This window comes from Homo sapiens, chromosome 20 (assembly GCF_000001405.40).
Source record: "Homo sapiens chromosome 20, GRCh38.p14 Primary Assembly".
In the NCBI taxonomy this organism is placed as follows: domain Eukaryota; kingdom Metazoa; phylum Chordata; class Mammalia; order Primates; family Hominidae; genus Homo; species Homo sapiens.
The window spans coordinates 18,603,780-18,627,757 of record NC_000020.11 but is presented as its reverse complement, the minus strand read 5'-3'; the positions used below and the strand labels follow the sequence as shown (position 1 = coordinate 18,627,757).

The window sequence follows — 23,978 nt, the reverse complement described above, 5'->3', positions numbered from 1 at the left end:
AAAACATATGAATTGTGAGAGTTACAATTCAAGATGAGATTTGGGTGGGGCACAGCCAAACCATATCACACACCTAGATCAGCGTGATCCAAAACCCGGGTCACAGTGGGAGAAGGAGGTTGACCGGGAGGAGGATCAGCCACTCAACACAGGAAAAGTTAGCCAGCCTTGTAAGAGGGATGGAAATGCAGGATTAAGTAGCACAGAGGCTGCTGCGTGCCCAACAGATTTGGCAAGAAATAAAAGGTCTGGTAACACCAAGGGTGGGAAAGAATGTGGGTTACCGGGACTGTACATGGTGGGAAGGCAAACACAGAGCATTCTGGAAGGCCATGTTTGCACTGCATGCAGTGAAGCCCTCCATCTCCCTCCATGGAAGGCACTGCTTTTGGGCTACTGCGGCACAGGCAGGCCTCACACCCTGAGGTCCTTCCGCAACCTGGGTGACCTCCATGAGTCTCTGTTCCTGCCACCACAACCTCACAAATTCCTTCTCTGAGTCTTTCCTACCAGTGGGTCCCTAACTTCAGAAGGACTCAGCAAAATGGGCATGCCAACAGACAGCTTTCTTTGGCCCACAGACAGTAGCATTGGAAATTGTATTAGAAGCACCCAAGCTGTTGGCCATGTTTATAAGCAAGATTAATCTAGATCCTACTGGATAGTCAAAGGTGCTCAAAAAATGATGACTTTCCGTGACCTCCTATCAGATTAAAGTGGCCGTTCAAATCAACAGAGCTTTTGTCTCATCCATGTCAGACTAACTAAAAAGACATCAGCTGGGAAGGAAATCATGTGTTTAATTGCATGCTAAAATTATGGCTACAATTAGTAGAAAATTTCAGTCACTGCACTCCTCAGGGAGGCTGAAGGCAGGCTCAAGAGGACAGGAATTATTTCCGACCTTGAATTTCTGTTGCCAGGATATACAGTATATGCTTCACCTTGTTTATCATTCCAAGTAGTGAGAAATTTATTTTCTTTTCCTGTTTTTCTTCAGTTAAGAATAGAACTATTATGTGAATTTCCATCCGTACAGATGATAAATCCAAAGACATGTTTTAAGAGATCTTAAAATGGTAACATTTTTTTCCAGTCCAGATCAAAGGGTAAAGCGCCCAAAAAGAATTATACTAACCAGAGAAAATAAACACATTTTAAAAAAAACACACACTCACACAAAAGCATATCTATAAAATGACATCTGGGCTCCTATGGTGATATAATCAAGTTGTTCTTAAATATTAAGTCCCAGCTTTCTTTCTACCCAGAGCTGCAGGTTAAGCACATGTTAGACACGCTTATGCTGCATGTTTAAAGCAGGAAAGCTCTCAGCTGGAGACTAACCACCCATGAACTCATCTCCAGCAGAACTTTTCAAGGCCCTAACAGCTGTAAACCAGAGTGCCTCCCTGCAGATTCTCTGTGTAGCTACAAAAACTGGTGTCCATGCCCCTCTGGACAATGCTTCACTGACTTTAGCCACCAGCCAAGAAGGCTCACACCACCTCTCCGGGCCCCAGTTTGTTCTGGTGCAACAGGACAGTTGTCCTGGGATGGTTACAAAGGTGCACATAGGTTAGTACACAGCCCAGCACAGTGAGTGTACAGGAAATCATAGTCACTATTATTACTATTGTCATGCCTACCACTGTCCATGGTAGTATATGCGCAAATTGCAGGGATGGGACAGAAAAATATTATGCCAAAAAAGTATACTCTGAAAGAAAAATGGGGAGAACAAAAGGCGTGTACCAATGCTTCTTGGCCTGGCTGGGAGCAAGCCCACATTCGCTGCTCTCCAGAGCTGGCCCTGTGTGGCCATGAATGGGCTGGACCTCAGCCAACCTTTGGGGACCAGTATGGGACATGGGCACTAGACAGTAAGCCTCAGGTCAGCCCATCTAAGCACATCCCCTAAAGGCAGTTATCTGCCACCAAGGAGGCATTCTCACCCCACAGGCTTCCTCTTCATTCTACTTTCAATCTGTTCAGAACCTGAGCAGGCAGGAGGCTGTTACTGATGGAAACCCCAACAGTGGGTTACAGGCTGGGACCTCAAGAAATTAAGCAAATCAGTGGCATTGAGGGGTTCAAAATAAGCCTGGGGCCAGGCTGGAGCCACTGCCTGCTAGAGGAGTTTGATCTGGATGCGCAGGATTGTGCCTAGAGCCTTTGGGAGTATGACTCTGGAAGCCGCTAGCATCCATGGTGGTTCTGACCTCAAGTACAGGGCTGCTTCTACAGAGACAGGAGTGTTCCTTGGCATCCCCAGTGCCCCAGAGGCTGGGCCAGTGCCAGTGAACCACCACTGGGACAACACAGCAGCAGACGCCTGGCTCAAAGGTGCCTGGAAAGCTGAGGCAAGGGCTCTGGGGCCTTAGGCAGAGACCAGTAGCTCTAGGAATGACAAGTCCTAAGTGACTTGGTGGTGAAAATATCTGTTTTGTCAGCAAATGGGTGTATTACAGGCCCTTCAGGCCCTGGCAGCTGATTTTCTCACAGTTTGAGGGCTAGGCCTAGGTCTGACTGCATGCCACACTCAGGGCCATGGAGGGAAGTGGAAAGGCAGACCTGGGGCTCTTGTGGCTTCTTCCCAGGCTTTGGGCTCCCCTTATCAGGGTTCTCCACTTGGCTCTGCAACAGCGCAGAGGTGGTATCTACATCTGAGGGCGGTGTCTACAACAGATTCATTTCTTGGAAACAAGTGTCTCAAGCCTGGAACTTTGTAGCAAGAAGGATTGGAGGACCCAAAATACCTAACTATGGAAAAGTGAGGGCACCTTTCACTAACAGGGCCACCCTCAATTCCAAACTAAAGAGTGTCAAAGCCATGAGAAGAAACAAACATTACGACGGTAAATGTCTAGGACCAAAGTTTACCTTTAGCTGGGAAGTTAAATTCCCAACTATGCCTACATCCTGAGGTCATAAATTCAAGGCAATTAAGGTAGCCTTCTTGCATAACAGGAGATCCAAGGCAAGGAGCTCCCTGATTATCAAACTTTGCTCAGACATCTCTGGGCCCTGCTGGGGTCCTTGACATCACTCTGCCTGGGATAACTCTGTAGGGTTGAAGGCTATATGGTTGTCTAACTGAGGCTCAAGGAAGCCTGTGTGGGGATGATGCAGTGTTTGAGTCCCCCCAAAGGACCTACAAGGACACCTGTATGACACATCTCAGACACAGCTTGGACAAGGCTGCTGCATGAACCCAGACTCAATCGAGCATGGCCACCCTTCCACAAAGAACAGCAGGGGAGGTGGCTTCTGAGCTCATGATGTCTTGGGATATGATTTCATATCTTACTTCCTTCGGTCTTCAAAGCTTTTGGATTTGATTATGTTACAGAATTAATCTTGGCCTGTAATTTCTCCCTGGGACTGTGATAATGGGATAGGGTCTGCATTCAAATCCAGTGCATTTCCATGTTGCTGGCACTTTATTATGAGTTTCTTATGTATTTTACTATTGCAGTATATTGTCACTTAACCTCACTGCAGGAGCTCTGGTGTGCTGGGCTGGGCACTGTGGCTGGACACGGCTTGGGAAACAGCCTAGGGAATAAGTCTTCACCTTGGGAGCACAGTGGCCTTGGAAGGGCTTCATGGCAGGGTTCTGACCCAGTTCAGAGCCTCCAAGGACAAAAGACAGCAGGAGCAGCCTAACATAGGCTCCAAGGTAGACTGGTCTGAGTTGGTGAGGCTTCCTTCCCTGACAGGGCACCCCCATGGCCAGAGTGAGCCTCTGCTCAGAACCACCCTCCATCAGTTCCTGTCACTCCCATGACAAGAGCCATAGTCCCTGGAGTAGCATGCCCTCTATTGTGCATGCTCTTTTTCTGTCTCTACACACACACACACACACACACACACACACACAGTTCTTCTTGTAAGTACTGTTGAGAAGTAAGAGAAAGTGATCCCTGTAAGTTTTCCTAACTTAAAAGTATGTTATTATAATACCATAGAACACATGGGGGAAGTGGCTCACTCAGGCTGCTGTGTTGGGTATGTCCTGAAAGGAGACCCGGCTGGACGCAGGAGGCCCATTAATAGGCTGTCACAAAAATTCAGATGAAAGATGCAGACGGCCTGCGCCAGGGTGGGTGCAGAAGCGGCGTTCTGCTCTCAGCTTCCGTGTGCATGTCCCAGGTGAGGCAAACAGGATTTGCTGATAGAGCAGATGTGGGGAGGAGGAGCCATGCCAAACTCTGAAGTTTCATCCCATAAGTGCATTTATTAGAAAATAAGACTAAAACCAAATTATTAGAAAATAAGACTAAACCCGAATGAAATAAGAAACCAGGAAAAGAAACCAAATAAATCACACACTCATTAAAGTGAAGAAGATGAAGTGAAAAGAGTGAAGAAGATTAAAGCAAAACAATGAAATACAAAAAAAACTAAAAACGCTGATTAAGAAAAAAAGGAGGAAAATACAACCAAAAGACATGAGAAAATTAATGTGACTCTAGATATAGAGATCTTTCAAAATAATTTTAAAAATCTATAAAATTGCTAGGCACAGTGGTTCACACCTGTAATCCCAGCACTTTGAGAGGCTGAGGCGGGCGGATCACGAGGTCGGGAGATCGAGACCATCCTGGCTAACACAGTGAAACCCCATCTCTACTAAAAATACAAAAAATTAGCTGGGCATGGTGGCATACGCCTGTACTCCCAGCTACTCAGGAGACTGAGGCAGAAGAATCGCTTGAACCCGGGAGGCGGAGGTCGCAATGAGCCGAGATCGCGCCACTGCACTCCAGCCTGGCGACAGAGCAAGACTCCATCTCAGACAAAAAAAAAAAATTCTATAAAATTGTCTTCTAATAAGTTGGAAAATCCAGCTGTGAAGGAGAGGACAGGTAAAGTGCACTGCCCAGAGGAACTTGCGGGATATTGGGAAACTTCCTTGGCAACAGCCAAGGAAGCCGGCCCAAAGAGATCACTAACAAGTTCTATTAAACAGTAACGCCTATGTGATTTAAATTGGTCCAGACCACGGGAAAAGATGTAAAGCTTTCTAGTCTATTCTGCAAGGCCAGTATCACCCTTACACTAAAATTAGACAGGAATTTTTTTTAAAGCATAGACAAATTTCTCCTTTGAATACAGATGCAAAAATTCTACACTAACAACACTTGGGAAATTTCTTGCAGGCATTTATTAGAAGAACACTATGCAGTGGCCAGGGAAGGTTTAATCAGCATGGCTCATGATTAGGAAATGCATTTATCAGGTTAACACTTAGTGAAAAAGCCTGGAGAAAATGAAATTCCCTTCCTGTTTAAAAATGAAACTCTTAATTTGGCTAGAAACCTGCTTCTTTAAGAAGACTATGTAGGGACCTCTTTTTCCTGCAGTCAGGTAACTTAGGCACCCTGAATTATCTTCCTCACCCCCTAGGAAGTAAATCAATGTATTTAAAAAGATGTCATAAGTGGGAGTTGAACAATGAGAACACATGGACACAGGGAGGGGAACATCAAACACCAGGGCCTTTCAGGGGGTCGGGGGCAAGGGGAGGGAGATCATTAGGGCAAATACCTAATGCATGCAGGGCTTAAAGCCTAGATGACAGGTTGATAGGTGCAGCAAACACCATGGCACATGTATACCTATGTAACAAATCTGCACGTTCTGCACATGTATCCCAGAACTTAAAGCAAAATAATTTTTTTTTTTTTTGAGACAGAGTCTCGCTCTGTCACACAGGCTGGAGTGCAGTGGCACAATCTCTGCTCACTGCAACCTCCGCCTCCCGGGTTCACGCCATTCTCCTGCCTCAGCCTCCCGAGTAGCTGGGACTACAGGCGCCCACCACCATGCCCGGCTAATTTTTTGTATTTTTAGTAGAGACAGGGTTTCACCGTGTTAGCCAGGATAGTCTCGATCTCCTGACCTTGTGATCCGCCTGCCTTGGCCTCCCAAAGTGCTGGGATTACAGGCGTGAGCCACCACGCCTGGCCAAAAAAATTTTTTTAAAAAAGTAAATATATTAGCCAAGATGTTCTGGATCTAGTAATTGAATGCTAACCAAGATAATGAGATTCACCCAGCCATTTTAGCATACACAGATCATTTAAGAATATAACCATTCTTAAAAATACATAAGATTTTTATTAAAGTCCTAATTTGTTTTTACACTTCTAATGCAAATATATATATGGAATAAACTTACTTCAAAAAAAAGATGGATTGATTAAGCAAGTACTTCAGTAATAACTGTTACAGGCAAAGACCATGGATGGAGGCTAAAATTAGTGAGTGGGAGTAGGCTGAGTAACAGGATATTTGCATAGTCTCAAATTATCTCCACACAAAACACAGACCAATTACAAAGTGGAAAACAGTAACTTGACAGAGAAAAATCTGGCAAATAATGAGACATGTCGACATCATATGCCCCAACACGATGCACTGAGAAGGGTACAAGATCACTTTTGTAGTGTTCCTGCCAAAAATGCCTAACTTTAATCATGAGAAGACATCAGGCGGACACAAAATGAGGGACATTCTACAAACTGACAAAATGAGTGACTCTTCAAAAATGGCAACGTCATGAAAAACAAGGAAAGACAAGGTAATCACCACATACTGGGAGAGACTAAGGAGCTGCAACAACTAAATGCGGTTTGGAATTCTGGATTGAATCCTGGACCAGAAAAAAGGATATTAGTGGGACAACTGGCAAAATTCAAATAAGGTCTGTAGTTTAGTCAATAGTATGTTATCAGTGTTAATTTCCTCATTTTGATAACTGTACTATGTAAAATGTTATCAATAGAAGTTGGATGAATCTTATTATTTGTCAAACTTTTCTGTAAGCCTAAATTATTTCAAAATAAAAAGTTAACAGCCAGGCAAGGCGGTATGCACCTATAGTTCCAGGTATTTGGGAGGCTGAGAGGCAGGAGGATCACTTGAACCCAGGAGTTCCAGACCAGCCTGGGCAACACAGCAATATTCTACCTCTTAAAAAAAATTTCTTTAAATTAAGTATGGTGGCACATGCTCATAGTCCCAGGTACTTGGAGACTAAGGCAGGAGGATTGCTTGAGCCCAGGAGCTCAAGGCTACAGTGAGCTATGATCATGCCACTGTATTCCAGCCTGGGTGACAGAATGAGACCCTATCTCAAAAAAAGAAAAAAAAGAAAAAAAGAAAGTCAGCCTATGAAAGCTGTAGGAAAATTTTTAAAAATAAAAATGAATAAAATGAAATACAAAAGAGTTAAAGAAATATATTCCATCCAGCATTAATTTAGTTGGTTCAGTTGAGAGGTTTTTTGCCTAAGCCACTAGAAGGCTGGCGTTGCCACCAACTGAGATAGGTAAGCCCACAGTGGCATAGGTTGGGGTTAGGAAGTGAAATTAAGAGATCAGGGTTAGACCCATTGAGTTTGGGGGTCTCTTAGGTACCCAAGAGGGGATATGTAAACAGGCAGCCAAACTTAATGTGTCCAATACGGGGACCCAGAGGATTAATGAATTCATAACTTTAACACACTCCAGGTAAAAATAACATGATTACTTTCTGGAAGTAAATAAGCTGATTTAAAAATTCATATGAAAAAATAAACATTTAAGAAGAGCTAGGAAAAACTCTAAAGGACAATGTGGGAGAAATTCACCTTACCTGGTAGGAAAGCATAGTAAAAATCCTCAATAACTAAAACAGTGTGTCTTCAGCATATATACAGATAAGACAGACAGACAAAAAGAATAGATAGAAATGAAATTTTTTCAGTGAATGGAAGTTTTTAAAAATTAAAATTAAAAACTAAAAATAATAAATAAAATTTAAAAGTTCATAAATACATACAAGAATTTACTAGAAGATAAAGCCAGAAACTCAGTTAGTAAAGCTAAAGGTTGCTTTTTAAATAAATAGTTTTGGGAAGCCATTTAGTAAATACCTGAAGAAAAAGATAAGTGTTCAATCCATGCTTTACATTTATATGGGATAAACTACAAACAGATAAAAGATTTCAAAGTAAAAAATGAAAGCATAAAAGCAGGAGAGGAGGCCAGGTGCGGTGGCTCACCCCTGTAATCCCAGCACTTTGGGAGGCCGAGGCGGGCAGATAGCCTGAGCTCAGGAGTTCAAGACCAGCCTGGGCAACACAGTGAAACCCTGTCTCTACTAAAATACAAAGAATTAGCCAGGCGTGGCGGTGTGCACCTGTAGTCCTAGCTACTCGGGAGACTGAGGCAGGAGAATCGTGTGAACCCAGGAGGCGGAGGTTGCAGTGAGCCAAGATTGTGCCACTGCATTCCAGCCTGGACAACAGAGTGACACTCCGTCTCCAAAAAAAAATTAAAAACAAAAAAAGGAGGAGAGGCAAAAATAGCCAAATTTCTTTGTAATTTTGGAGTAGAAAATGTCATATGAGTCATAGAAAACTTGATTCAAAAGCCAGCAGACATTTCAAAAAATTGACAATCTACTGCTTAGGGATCAAAATTGTCTACCCAGCAAACAGTCCCTTAAGCAAGGTCAAGGGGCAAATGACAAAATAGAGAAAGATAGCTGCAACTCATAGCATGTATAAAGCACTCACAGAAATAAAGAACCTGACAAATAACTTGACAGAAAAAATGAACAGGCCAGGGGAGGTAGCTCATGCCTGTAATCCCAGCACTTTGGGAGGCTAAGGTGGGAAGACGGCTTGAGCCTAGGAACTTGAGACCAGCCTGGGCAACATAGTGAGACCTTGTTTCTACAAAATATAAAAATAGCCAGGCACGGTGACTCACGCCTGTGATCCCAGCACTTTGGAAGGCCAAAGCAGGAGGAGTACCTGAGATCAAGAGTTCGAGATGAGCCTGGCCAACATGGTGAAACCCCATCTCTACTAAAAATACAAAAATTAGCTGGGCATGGTGGCAGGTGCCTGTAATCCCAGCTACTCGGGAGGCTGAGGCAGGAGAATTGCTTGAACCAGGGAAGTGGAGGTTGCAGTGAGCCAAGATGACGCCATTACATTCCAGCCTGGGCAACAAGAGCAAAACTCCATCTCAAAAAAAAAAATTATATGTGTGTGTGTGTGTGTGTGTGTGTGTGTGTGTGTGTGTGTATAAAATTATGTATATATACACATATATGTGTATAATTATATATACATATACATATATACACACACATATGTATGTATATATAATTTTTGTATTATATATGTATTAATATGTATTATAGATGTGTTCATATATATAATTTTTATATCTATATTAGCTGGGAATGGTGGAACATGCCTGTGGCCCCAGCTACTCAGGAGGCTGAGGTGGGAGGATTGCTTTAGCCTGGGAGGTTGAGGCTGCAGTGACCCATGATCATGATGCCACTACAGTCCAGCCTGGGTGACAAAGAGCCAGACCCTGTCTCAAAAAAAAACAAAAAAACAAAAACAAAAAAAGGACAAAGCACATAAACAGTTAAGAGAAAAGGAAATAAGTCAGTCAAACATCTGAAAAAATGTCCAACCACACTCTGTGCATTAAAACTACAATGGGATATCTATCAGATGGGTGAAATTCTAGAAGTTCAAAATACACTCTGCCAACAGAGCTAGGAGAAATATGGTAGTCTCACACTGCAGAAAGGTGCGGTGCCTACAAACGGCCATCTGGCACCGTCTATCCCATTTCTGAGAATTTCTCCAACAGGTATCTCCCGACTGCATATGAAGTGGCATATGTACAAATGTATTCATCATGTCACTGTTGTTTTTAAGAGACATAAATTAGAAATAATCCAGGAGTCCAACAATACAAGATCTATTAAATAAGCCAGGCTATGGTCCTGCCACAGAACAGTACACAGCAGTTTAAAAAGAGAGATTTAATTTGTTCAGAATAGAAGAGAAAAAAAAAGAAAGAAGTCTCTATGAACTGGTATGAAAAGAATCTCTAGGACACACTGTGAATTTTTTTTTAAAGCCAAGATATAAAACAGTACATCACATCATACCTTTTGTATAGAAAGGGGAATATTTTTAAAATTCATATTTGCTCACATTTGCAAATGGATAGATGGATAGAAAAAAATAATAAAAGTAATTACCTCTAGAGAGCAAGAAAAACAGGCTGGACAGAGACACGAATGAGAGCAAACCTTTCCAGTTTAGACCTTTTCATATCATTTTGATGTCTGAACTACCTCATCCTACTACCTATTCAATCATTAATTAGAAGAATAAAGTTAGAGGACTCACACCTCCCAATTTCAAAACTTACTACAAAGTTACAGTAATCAAAACAGTATGGTACTGTGTAAGTACAGAAACATAGAACAATGAACTAGAACTGTGAGTCCAGAAGTAAACCCTCATATATATGGTCACAAATATATATGTGTGTGTATATGTATATACATTATATTATATATACACATTATTAAAAATTATATATCTAATATTATATATATTATATATAATTTTTTTCTGAATTCGTAGTCCCTGAATCAATAAGGTTTTGAACTCTTCCCATTCCTCCTGCTGAATGATTCAGACTTTTCGTTTCATCCCAAGTCACCTTACTTACTTGGATTGTAACAACACTGAACAGAAGTTTCTTTCTACCTATGCCTGTATCTTCTTTTAAAAATTATCTTTATTTCTTCCAATTGAATTGTATCATAGACTCTCGGCTAAGGAGAAAGAGCTGATCCTGCAATTCATGGCCAGAAGTGCGGAGGAAATTCAGGAAATGAGATAAAAGTGAGGAAGGAGAATAAGGACAGGAGGGGGAAAGAGCCCAGAGAGAATGGAAAGAATAGAAAGGATGGCAAAGCCACCAAAATGGACCAGTCCTCATCTCCTGAGACCCAGAGGCATTCATTGCACAAAATCACAAAGCACCCACTGTGCATAAGGCATGCTGCCATTAGTGCAGGAGTGCAAAACCCCACCATACCACTGACACTGCTTTTTTAAAAAAATTTTTTAGAGACAGGGTCTTACTCTATCACCCGGGCTAGAGTGCAGTGGTGTGATCATAGCTTGCTGCTGCCTTGAACTCCTGGGCCCAAGCAATCCTCCTGCCTCAGCCTCTCAATTAGCTGGGACTATAGGCGTGCACCATCACACTCAGCTAATTTTTTCTTTTTTTTTCTTTTTTTCTTTTCTTTTTAGAGATGGGGTCTTGCTATGCTGCCCAGGCTGGTCTAGAACTCCTGGGCTGAAGTGATTCTCCTGCTTCGACCTCCCAAAGTGCTGGGATTATAGGTGTGAGCCACTGTGGTGGCTGACATTGCTTTTAGGGTGGCCATGGTTATTTTAGGTAGGGGAAGGGAGAACTGGCAAGATCAGGTTGCTGTTCACAATAGACAATCAACTAAGCAAATCAATGAAATCACGAAAAGACAGGGTTTAATAACGAAAGTAGATATAGTTTGCCATTTGGGAAGAGGTATGCTACATTGTAGCTGTGAAGATGATTTACATGTAAGACCAAAAAAGAGACATGCAGGAATAAATAATGAAGTCAGTAAGCAAATTAATGAAGAGAATGAAAGAAAAGGAAAGAATGAGAGAAAATATAAATGTATTTGGCCAAAATCAGTTGGACATCTGTGTCAAACTTTTACACAAGAGCAACAGCCTGTACCACAGTTTGCCAACCCTGCCATTCATTAACAATGAAGACACGATCCCACATTATAATTTCCTAAATTTACAAGAAAAATAATGCCTTTGGCATCACAGTCTTTGCCAAAGTATATAGAACAGGCTTCCACTGAAAGTTCACTCATGCTGTTAAAATGCTTTAAATAGTAAACAGAGTAGAAAATTAAACAAATCCACAGAAATCAAGTACTAAGCACAAAACAAAAACTTAGACGTGGTCTTCCAGCTCCTGGCACTTTCTCTTTGCATTATGAAGCGGGAGAGGCACGGGCATCATGGACGTCCCATGGAGTACACAGAGCAGAAGCGGTCATAAACTGCTGCCCTCCTGACGTGTCTGTCCACATTTCTCTAGCTCTTAGATGCCCACAACAAATCAGACCCAGCAGAGAATATACAGGTAATCCTTTTGAATACTGTAGCAGCTTCTGATTTGCTGAACAAAGCTGACTAGTGAATGTTTCCCTGAGCCCATTACAAATGCCTCAGAGCTGGAACTAGAAGCTTGAGAGCAAAGGTTGCCCTTCTCCACTATTCCATTTTGGTATAACTTGTTTTTTTTCTAACTATAAAAGCAATACATGCTTAACACTCAACTTGGACAGCGTTCAATGCCTCCTGCCAAATGGGGCCTTCAGCATTCATGTGAAGGCTGGAGATCCCTGAAGGGCTGTTGAGGATACAAGTGACCCAGTTTCCTGTGCCTACTCAGTCTGGGGACCCAATAATGCACCCTCAACGTTTAGCTCATTCTCAGTAGAGGGGAAAATATGACAGGACTATTCACTAGTTTTTCCCCTAAAGCAATGATTCGAGAAACAGCCATGAAATGAGGAAAGTTCTACCCTTTGAGAGCAGCAGGGTTATGAGCTGTGGAAGACTAGAGATGGCTTCAAACTCTTTGACACTCCTGTCATTACAGCGTGGGACTGTATCTCCTCCCCTTGAATCGGGGTAGGCTGTGAGACTGCTTTGACCAACATTATATGACAGAAGTGAGGCTGTGCCACTTTCCAGGCCTGGTCTGAAGGGATCAGCACATCTATTCCCATCTTGGAATGCCTGCTCTTGCAATGCTCACTGTGGAGGAAGCCAGCACCATGTTATGAAGCCAACTGCCCTGAGACCACCAGGTTGGGAGGAGCCCAGCAACGTGGGGAGGCCAAGGATGAGAAGTTGGGAGGAGTAGGGGGAGGAGAGCAGAAAGGGGAAGAGGGTACACTGCGGCCGTTTTAGAAGGAAGAAAGGAAGGAAGGAAGGGATTGAAGGAGAGTGGAAGAAAGAGTGAGCAGGAGGAAGGGAAGGAGGAAGGGAGAGAGGGAGGGAGAAGGGAAAATGTGTGCAAGCCTAGGGAGCTTGCTGGGACACAGGAAGTGCCTCTAAATGGGCCCACACAAAAAACCCTTCCTGATACTACAGCCTGCAGCTTCTCTCATCCTTCTCATCTCAGCTTAAATCTCTCTCCCGGCTGTCTTTGCCGCTAACAAACATAGAAGTCAGCCAGTGCACCAGATGACCAAGTTGCCAGATTGCCAACAGTGTTTTTCAGCAATGTGGTCTCTCTTCCACTCCTCCATCCAAGTCTGTCCCTGAACCTCTTGAACCTGCTCAGGCCAGTCACACACCTGCCTAGAGCTGGATACTCCAGCGGCTTTACTGGGGACCTGGCCGTGAACTCTGTCATTTCTCCAGCCGAAGCAGACAGCTAATCCTCCTGCCCCGATGTTCATCCTAGCCCTACCTTGTCTCCTATGCAAAGAGGAGTGCATTTTTACACAATGCATTCAGGATATCACCTGGCCCAAGTTTTCCCGAGAACTGCACTGCCACAGGGCTGCTTCTTAGGGTGGCCAGCCATCCTAGTTTGCCCAGGACTTAGGGGTTTCTAGGGATGTGGGATGCTCAGTGCTTGAGCAGGAGCATGCTGGGAAAACCTGATCTCTGCTCTGAGGCTGGTCTGTCCAGTGCCCCAGGTCATTACAATAGAAGAAGAGGCTCAGAGAGTTTTTAAAAGAAAAATAGGCTGGGTGCAGTGGCTCACACCTGTATCCCAGCACTTTGGGAGGCCAAGGCGGGCAGACCACTTGAGCCCAGGAGTTTGAGACCAGCCTGGGCAACATGGCGAAACTGTCTCCAATCTTTTACACTTTATGTAAAATATAAAAGAAAAACAGTGGGGGTGTTTCCAATTTAAATAGCATGCACCCTAGTGGCCAGTCAATATTCAACGAGGGGCAACAGTACATACCCACATACAAGCATAAAGATCAACAACACTCTGCATGGGTATTGGTTTGATGAGTCAAGAAGAATCAACAAATGACCTAAACACAGCTCAGACAAAATCATGCCCAAGCACATGTGCAGCCACCACCTTAGCAACTAACCCTGTTATTCATCCCTAACACTCCCTCAAAGTATGCATCACACCAGTCACCTCAGAAGGTTCTGATGACACTTGTTTCTGAAAGGAGAATCGCTCATATACAACTGGTAAATGAAAGTGCATATACCACAGAGGCTGTATCTCAGCAGAGGTGGGTTTTCTCAGACAAGGAGAGCCAGACTAGTGGGAATAAAATGACAGCCTTCAGCAGAAAAGCCCTCAGCACTGGCAGCAGAAGCCCCTAAAAGTATCTTATGAAAATAAAAAACAAGTGCCTACTGCCTTCCAACCCAGCCACAGGACTTTGGTGTTCTGCTATTAACTCCATTTTTCCCATAAGCCCTGAGAGTTTTAGCAACAGTTTCGCAGAGCAGGAGGTTTCTGAGGAATGTTACCACGCTGTGGCAGAAACAGCCACACTAGTTTAGTATCTCTCTTCTCTAGACCGTGAGCTCCTTTAGGGCAGGAACTGCATCACTCTTACTCGGCACTGTATACCCAGAGCCTAGCACAAGGGCTGACAGATAAAGTGTCTTATTGATGGATAAGTTACAAAACTGACTTGAATGGAACCAATAACATCTCCCCCAGCAGAAACAGGACTAAAATCCTGGATGAACATCCTGCTCAGAAAGGAAGGACACTCTGGCCTCAGGGCACACTGCTCCCCTTCCTAGGCCCAAATGAGGCCCAAAAACCCCTCCGCTGATTTCCTTGATCATGACGGAGAAGGCAGGAAAGTCCCAGTAGACTCAATAAATACAGAAAAATAACAGAAAAGGGCCAGGTGCAGTGGCTCACGCCTGTAATCCCAGCACTTTGGGAGGCGGAAGTGTGCAGATCACTTGAGGTCAGGAGTTCCAGACCAACCTGGCCAACATGGTGAAACCCTGCTTCTACTAAAAATACAAAAATTAGCCAGGTGTGGTGGCAGGCGCCTATAGTTCCAGCTACTTAGGAGGCTGAGGCAGGAGAATCGCTTGAACCTGGGAGGAGGAGGTTGCAGTGAGCCCAGATTGCGCCAATGCACTCCAGCCTGGGCGACAGAGTGAGACTCTGTCGCAAAATAAAAAAAAAGAAAGATAACAGAAAAGGCCAATAAGCCAAGAAGATGTGAATTTTACAGTGAAGCAAAGATATCAGTGAAGCTCAGGTTCTAGAGACAGCTGCTGGTTCGATTCCAGGCTCTGCCACTTACGTGCTGAGTGACCTTCCATAGGTTACCGTGCTGCACCTCACCTACAGAATGGCAGTAATCCTCATACTCACCTCTTAGAATTGTTGTGAGTATTCAACGAGATAAAGAATGAAAGAGTGTTTGCTTTGCACAGGGCCTGGAATATAACAAGCCCTCAACAGAGGTATTTTGGCATGTTATTAACTAACAATAATAATAAACATGTGTGGGCCAGGCGCGGTGGCTCACCCCTGTAATCCCAGCACTTTGGGAGGCCGAGGCGGGCGGATCACGAGGTCAGGAGATTGAGACCATCCCGGCTAAAACGGTGAAACCCCGTCTCTACTAAAAATACAAAAAATTAGCCGGGCGTAGTGGCGGGCACCTGTAGTCCCAGCTACTTGGGAGGCTGAGGCAGGAGAATGGCGTGAACCCGGGAGGCGGAGCTTGCAGTGAGCCGAGATCCCGCCACTGCACTCCAGCCTGGGCGACAGAGCTAGACTCCGTTTCAAAAAAAAAAAAAAAAAAACACAAAAATTAATTAGCCGGGCACGGTCGTGGGCGCCTGTAATCCCAGCTACTCGGGAGGCTGAGGCATGAGAATCACTTGAATCTGGGAGGCGGAGGTTACAGTGAGCTGACATCGTGCCACTGCACTCTAGCCTTGGTGACAGAGCAAGACTCCGTCTCAAAAATAATAACAATAATAATAATTTTAAAAAAACATGCGTGAGGACCAAACCATAACTAGCTTCCCCTCCAGGGTTCCACTGTATACAGAACAAGTGAAAGAGCTTGGGGTTATATTACCAAGCGGGCCATAAAACAACAGGAACGAAGAGAGCCGGCCTGCTGTGGGCACATGCATCACAGCAGGGACCATGTGGGAAGAGCTGCGGCAGATGAGGAAATGTCCCTAACCGCATGGGTGCTGGCAGGGATGTGAGGAACACAGAGAAGGAACAAAGGGGACAACGATCTTCTCTCTGTCACTAACAACAAATAAGAGAAACAAATCAAATATAAATGTAAAATAAAATTTCACTTAGGAAAGGAGAAGGGAGTGAAAAAATGTTAAATCTAATTAAACTTTACGTTTTAAAGTTGCTGAAGTGGTCTTAAAAATCCTAAAATAAAGAAAATGTATTTAGCATTTCATCTGCATTCCAACATCCCTTGGGCTCACAGAGCCTTTTCATACTGGAGCTGGAAGCCAAATTCTCAAAATTAAGCAAAAGACAGCAAGTGTGTAACGCATGCTCTATGAATTTTGTTTCATTGGAGGCTGTAAAAGAGACAAGGCCAAAAGAAAATGTGACACACTGTTGATATAATTGTAGGACTTCTGGAAGTTCAAAACATTTGGAAATAAATTTTGATTAAAACTGTCTGTATATGCTGTATGAAAGGAGAAAAGGTTAGCCCTTGACAAGGATGGAAGGGGCCCTTGGGCCTGATAACATGCATAAGGTTAAGGCATTGCCACCTACTTCGTAGCATCTAACCATGATTTTTTACTCTTATTAGGGGAATAAGAAAGTAAATCTATAACCAACATTAAAATTACTTTGCACTTGTAATCAAAATAGTTCTATGATTTGTCTCTGACTATTCACAGAATTGTACATTCTGGTGTTTTTTGTTTTGTTTTGAGACAGGGTCTCGCTCTGTCACCCAGGCTGGAGTGCAGCAGCACCATCTCAGCTCACTGCAGCCTCAATCTCCTGTGTGAAAGCGATCCTCCCACCTCAGCCTCCTGAATAACTGGGACTAGAGGCACACAACCCCGTGTGTGGCTAATTTTTTTGCATTTTTTGTAGAGACGAGATTTTGTCATATTGCCCAGGCTGGTCTTAAACTCCTGGGCTCAAGCAATCCACCCGTCTTGGCCTCCCAAAGTGCTGAGATTACAGGCAAGAGCCACCATACCCAGCCATAAATTCTGGTTTTTTAAGCCCAAGTCATTTTACATTTGCTTTTCCAAAATGCATTAAATTGTAATATTAAAATCCTTTTAAAAAACTGTGTATAATTTATGTCAATTTTTCATCAAAATGATCAGATGTATTATACACCATGAGCTTAAATTCTGATCCATTATAAAATTATTTATGATTGCCCCAGGCACTTCATATAATTACCTAGATAAAATATACATTATTTCAAGAAGTATGCCAGGTGTGGTGGCACACCGTCTGTAGTCCCAGCTTGGGAGGCTGAGGAGAAAGGATCACTTGAGCCCAGGAGTTCAAGCCCAGCCTAAGTAACATAGCAAGACCCTCTCTGTCAAAAAGAAATAAATAAAAGGTGTTTTTAGGAATACAAACACCCAATAATAATAAACTATCCTCTTTAAAAACGCAGACTGAAAGCAGTTTTCCTTTCATTCAAGCATTCCTTAACAACTATAAATGTTCACCCATTTAAAATGCCTTCACTTATGCTTTTCTGATATTCCTTACTTTCATCTATGTTTCAAGGGACTTTAGAGCATTCTAAAACTCATCTGAGATTACTCAGAAATGGAATGATTCCACAAACACCTGCAAGCAGAGAAGAACAATGCTGGCAGCATCTAATCTTTGTCTCAGAAAAGAAAAATAATTACTCAGAGGATTTGACTTAATTACTCATTCTGTGAAGAAACATGTTTGCAGCAAACCACTTTGGAGGATCCCAGTGGACATAGGGTAGGAAAAACCACTGGAGACATCCATGACCAGACTTGTAAATGGAGTTCTAAATTTGGATATTTCCAGGAGAGGCAAATCTATTCTGCTCTATCAGAACCCAAGTAAGAGTGGGATTTGAATTAAGGTGGGAATGTTCTGTTCATCTAGAATCCATGTATTCTTACAGCAAATGGACATTTTTTACAAGTAGAAAGAGAATTAAAAGGAAATGCCAAGGAGGAGTAGGAATATCACCCATCTAAACATGAGCACATCAAATGAGCTGACAATCCTCAATGTGGGCTCTGCTACAGAGCTTCAAAAAAATTTCAAAAATTTTATTAAGGTTGAAAGTAGGCCTAATAAAAAAAAAATCTGGGTTTGCTTAATCCAGAGAGAGAAAGTTAGAGCATAGGAAACACTAAAGAGTTAACAATTAGGATGGGCTTGGTGGCTCACGCCTGTAATCCCAGCACTTTGGGCAGCCATGTCAGGTAGATTGCTTGAGCCCAGGAGTTCAAGACCAGACTTGGCAACATAGTGAAACACCATTTCTACTAAAAAAAAAAATACAAAAAAAATTAGCCGAGTGTGGTGGCACATGCCTGTGGTCCCAGCAACTTGAGAGGCTGAGGTAGGAGGATCACCTGAGCCCAGGAGGTGGAGGTTGCAGTGAGCGGAGATCTCGTACCACTGCACTCCAGCCTGGGTGACAGAGTGAGACCCTGTCAAAAAAAAAAATAAAGTTAATAACTGTCTACAAAAGGGTGTAACTAGAGCAACAGATACTGCAGTTCAACATTGAAAAACACATTCTACTTAGGAAGGGCTCAAAATGAAATGCATTAACAAAGGAGGCTATGTTTTCTAATTTAAAAAAAAAATTTTTTTCTTATGTATTTCTCCATGAAGACCTATGAATGTGTTTTCCAGTAACCTTGAAGAAAAGGGTAAAATATGATGATATTTAGTGCAATTTATCCCCAGAAACATGAAAAGAAACTAGAAATGAATGACGCCCTTAAAGTCTTCACAGAATCACAGTTCTCCTGAAAACCAGGACCATTATTCTAAGACATTTTCTAGCTAAGTCTTGATTAGTCGAACTAGGTTGGCACACCCAAGAATAAACAGGTAAGCAGAGACCTAAATCTACATTATCCAATATGACAGCCATGGCCTATACACGGCCATTGGGCACCTGAAATGTGGCTGGTCCGAATTGTTAAGTATAAACTACACACAAAGTTTTGAAGACTTATTACAAAATTCTTAGCACAAAAGTGGGGAAAAGAGAAACTTATAGCACTAAATGTGTTTATTAGAAAAGAAGAAAGAACTAAAATCAATAATCTAAGTTTCTTTCATAGGAAACTAGAAAAACAAGAGCAATTAAATGCAGAGTAAGCAGAAGAAAAGCAATAACAAAAATTAGAGCAGAGTGCTTGCTTCAGCAGCACATATACTAAAATTGGAACAATACAGAGAAGATTAGCATATAAACTTTTTAAAAAAAAAAAATAGAGCACAAATCAATTGACAATAGGAAACCAGTAGAGAAAATCAAACCAAAAGCTGGCTCTTTGAAACAATAAAGTCAATAAGCTTCTAGAAAGGATAACTAAGAAAAAAAAAAGAGGACACAAATCACCAATATCGAAAATGAAACAGAGGACATCACTATAGAGTCCATGGACATTAAAAAGAGGGTAAGGGGATACCACGAACAACTCTATATCCACAAATCTGATCACTTAGACAAAAAGACCAATTCCCTTAGTTTCTCAGGGTTCCCAAAGAAAAAAAAAAGAAATTAAGAAAAGACCAATTTCTTGAAAGGTACAATCTGCCAAAACTCTCACAAGAAGAAATAGACAGGCTGGGTGCAGTGGCTAACGCCTATAATCCCAGCACTTTGAGAGGCTGAGGCAGGTGCATCACCTGAGGTCAGGAGTTTGAGACCAGCCCAGCCAACATGGTGAAACCCCTTCTCTACTAAAAATACAAAAATTAGCTGGGCATGGTGGCATGCACCTGTAATCCCAGCTACTCAAAAGGCTGAGACAGGAGAATCGCTTGAACCTGGGAGGCAGAGGGTGCAGTGAGCTGAGATCGTGTCACTGCACTCCAGCCTGAGTGACCAAGCGAGACTCTATCTCAAAAAAAAAAAGAAAGAAAGAAGAAGAAAAAGACAATTTGGATAGACCTATATCCATTGAGGAAACTGAAGCAATATTTAATAACCTTTCAAAAAGAAACACCAGGCCTAGATGGGGTCATTGGTGAATTCTATCAAACATTTAAGGAATAAATTATACCAATTCTCTACAATCTATCTCTTTCAGAAGATAGAAGCAGTGGGGGTACTTCCCAACTCATTCTATGGGGCCAGAATCTACCCTAATACCGAAACCAGATAAAGAAATTACAAGAGCCGGGCGCAGTGGCTCATGCCTGTAATCCCAGCACTTTGGGGCCTAGACATGTAGATCACTTGAAGTCAGGAATTCGAAACCAGCCTGGCGAACATGGTGAAACCCCGTCTCTATTAAAAATACAAAAATTAGCCAGGTGTGGTGGCACACACCTGGATCCCAGCTACTCAGGAGGCTGAGGTATGAGAATCGTTTGAACCCGGAAGGCAGAGGTTGCAGAGCCAAGATTGCACCACTGCACTCCAGCCTGGACAACAGTCCAATACCTCTCATTAATACAGACACAAAAATCCTCAACAAAATAGCAAATAGAATCCAACAATGTATAAAAAGAATTATACACCATGATCAAGTGGGATTTATCCCAGGTATGCAAAGCTGGTTCAACTCAAAAATCAATTAATCAATCAAGCTAAAGAAGAAAAATCACATCTTCACATCCATAAACACAGAAAAAGCATGTGATGAACTTTAATATCCAGTCATGATAGAAACTCTCAGTAAACTAGGAATGGCTTTTTTTTTTTTATTATACTTTAAGTTTTAGGGTACATGTGCACATTGTGCAGGTTAGTTACATATGTATACATGTGCCATGCTGGTGCGCTACACCCACTAACTCGTCATCTAGCATTAGGTATATCTTCCAATGCTATCCCTCCCCCCTCCCCCCCCCCACCACAGTCCCCAGAGTGTGATATTCCCCTTCCTGTGTCCATGTGATCTCACTGTTCAATTCCCACCTATGAGTGAGAACATGCGGTGTTTGGTTTTTTGTTCTTGCGATAGTTTACTGAGAATGATGATTTCCAATTTCATCCATGTCCCTACAAAGGACATGAACTCATCCTTTTTTATGGCTGCATAGTATTCCATGGTATATATGTGCCACATTTTCTTAATCCAGTCTATCATTGTTGGACATTTGGGTTGGTGCCAAGTCTTTGCTATTGTGAATAATGCCGCAATAAACATACGTGTGCATGTGTCTTTATAGCAGCATGATTTATAGTCCTTTGGGTATATACCCAGTAATGGGATGGCCGGGTCAAATGGTATTTCTAGTTCTAGATCCCTGAGGAATCGCCACACTGACTTCCACAACGGTTGAACTAGTTTACACTCCCACCAACAGTGTAAAAGTGTTCCTATTTCTCCACATCCTCTCCAGCACCTGTTGTTTCCTGACTTTTTAATGATTGCCATTCTAACTGGTGTGAGATGGTATCTCATAGTGGTTTTGATTTGCATTTCTCTGATGGCTAGTGATGATGAGCATTTTTTCATGTGTTTTTTGGCTGCATAAATGTCTTCTTTTGAGAATTGTCTGTTCATGTCCTTCGCCCACTTTTTGATGGGGTTGTTTGTTTTTTTCTTGTAAATTTGTTTGAGTTCATTGTAGATTCTGGATATTAGCCCTTTGTCAGATGAGTAGGTTGCGAAAATTTTCTCCCATTTTGTAGGTTGCCTGTTCACTCTGATGGTAGTTTCTTTTGCTGTGCAGAAGCACTTTAGTTTAATTAGATCCCATTTGTCAATTTTGTCTTTTGTTGCCATTGCTTTTGGTGTTTTGGACATGAAGTCCTTGTCCATGCCTATGTCCTGAATGGTAATGCCTAGGTTTTCTTCTAGGGTTTTTATGGTTTTAGGTCTAACGTTTAAATCTTTAATCCATCTTGAATTGATTTTTGTATAAGGTGTAAGGAAGGGATCCAGTTTCAGCTTTCTACATATGGCTAGCCAGTTTTCCCAGCACCATTTATTAAATAGGGAATCCTTTCCCCATTGCTTGTTTTTCTCAGGTTTGTCAAAGATCAGATAGTTGTAGGTAGGCGGCGTTATTTCTGAGGGCTCTGTTCTGTTCCATTGATCTATATCTCTGTTTTGGTACCAGTACCATGCTGTTTTGGTTACTGTAGCCTTGTAGTATAGTTTGAAGTCAGGTAGTGTGATGCCTCCAGCTTTGTTCTTTTGGCTTAGGATTGACTTGGCGATGCGGGCTCTTTTTTGGTTCCATATGAACTTTAAAGTAGTTTTTTCCAATTCTGTGAAGAAAGTCATTGGTAGCTTGATGGGGATGGCATTGAATCTGTAAATTACCTTGGGCAGTATGGCCATTTTCACGATATTGATTCTTCCTACCCATGAGCATGGAATGTTCTTCCATTTGTTTGTATCCTCTTTTATTTCCTTGAGCAGTGGTTTGTAGTTCTCCTTGAAGAGGTCCTTCACATCCCTTGTAAGTTGGATTCCTAGGTATTTTATTCTCTTTGAAGCAATTGTGAATGGGAGTTCACTCATGATTTGGCTCTCTGTTTGTCTGTTGTTGGTGTATAAGAATGGTTGTGATTTTTGCACATTGATTTTGTATCCTGAGACTTTGCTGAAGTTGCTTATCAGCTTAAGGAGATTTTGGGCTGAGACAATGGGGTTTTCTAGATATACAATCATGTCATCTGCAAACAAGGACAATTTGACTTCCTCTTTTCCTAATTGAATACCCTTTATTTCCTTCTCCTGCCTAATTGCCCTGGCCAGAACTTCCAACACTATGTTGAATAGGAGTGGTGAGAGAGGGCATCCCTGTCTTGTGCCAGTTTTCAAAGGGAATGCTTCCAGTTTTTGCCCATTCAGTATGATATTGGCTGTGGGTTTGTCATAGATAGCTCTTATTATTTTGAAATACGTCCCATCAATACCTAATTTATTGAGAGTTTTTAGCATGAAGGGTTGTTGAATTTTGTCAAAGGCTTTTTCTGCATCTATTGAGATAATCATGTGGTTTTTGTCTTTGGCTCTGTTTATATGCTGGATTACATTTATTGATTTGCGTATATTGAACCAGCCTTGCATCCCAGGGATGAAGCCCACTTGATCATGGTGGATAAGCTTTTTGATGTGCTGCTGGATTCGGTTTGCCAGTATTTTATTGAGGATTTTTGCATCAATATTCATCAAGGATATTGGTCTAAAATTCTCTTTTTTGGTTGTGTCTCTGCCCGGCTTTGGTATCAGAATGATGCTGGCCTCATAAAATGAGTTAGGGAGGATTCCCTCTTTTTCTATTGATTGGAATAGTTTCAGAAGGAATGGTACCAGTTCCTCCTTGTACCTCTGGTAGAATTCGGCTGTGAATCCATCTGGTCCTGGACTCTTTTTGGTTGGTAAACTATTGATTATTGCCACAATTTCAGCTCCTGTTATTGGTCTATTCAGAGATTCAACTTCTTCCTGGTTTAGTCTTGGGAGAGTGTATGTGTCGAGGAATGTATCCATTTCTTCTAGATTTTCTAGTTTATTTGCGTAGAGGTGTTTGTAGTATTCTCTGATGGTAGTTTGTATTTCTGTGGGATCGGTGGTGATATCCCCTTTATCATTTTTTATTGTGTCTATTTGAGTCTTCTCTCTTTTTTTCTTTATTAGTCTTGCTAGCGGTCTATCAATTTTGTTGATCCTTTCAAAAAACCAGCTCCTGGATTCATTGATTTTTTGAAGGGTTTTTTGTGTCTCTATTTCCTTCAGTTCTGCTCTGATTTTAGTTATTTCTTGCCTTCTGCTAGCTTTTGAATGTGTTTGCTCTTGCTTTTCTAGTTCTTTTAATTGTGATGTTAGGGTGTCAATTTTGGATCTTTCCTGCTTTCTCTTGTGGGCATTTAGTGCTATAAATTTCCCTCTA

The 23,978-nt window shown here is 42.2% G+C and overlaps 1 protein-coding gene and 2 pseudogenes across 2 annotated transcripts in view; 2 read left to right on the top strand and 1 right to left on the bottom strand.

The window, feature by feature from the left end:
• DTD1 (D-aminoacyl-tRNA deacylase 1) overlaps positions 1 to 23,978 on the bottom strand; it is a 178,591-nt gene that overhangs the window by 138,887 nt on the left and 15,726 nt on the right. The window lies entirely within an intron of this gene.
• On the top strand, positions 16,591 to 16,711 carry RNU6ATAC34P (RNA, U6atac small nuclear 34, pseudogene; annotated as a pseudogene).
• On the top strand, positions 19,309 to 19,365 carry LOC124904973 (uncharacterized; annotated as a pseudogene).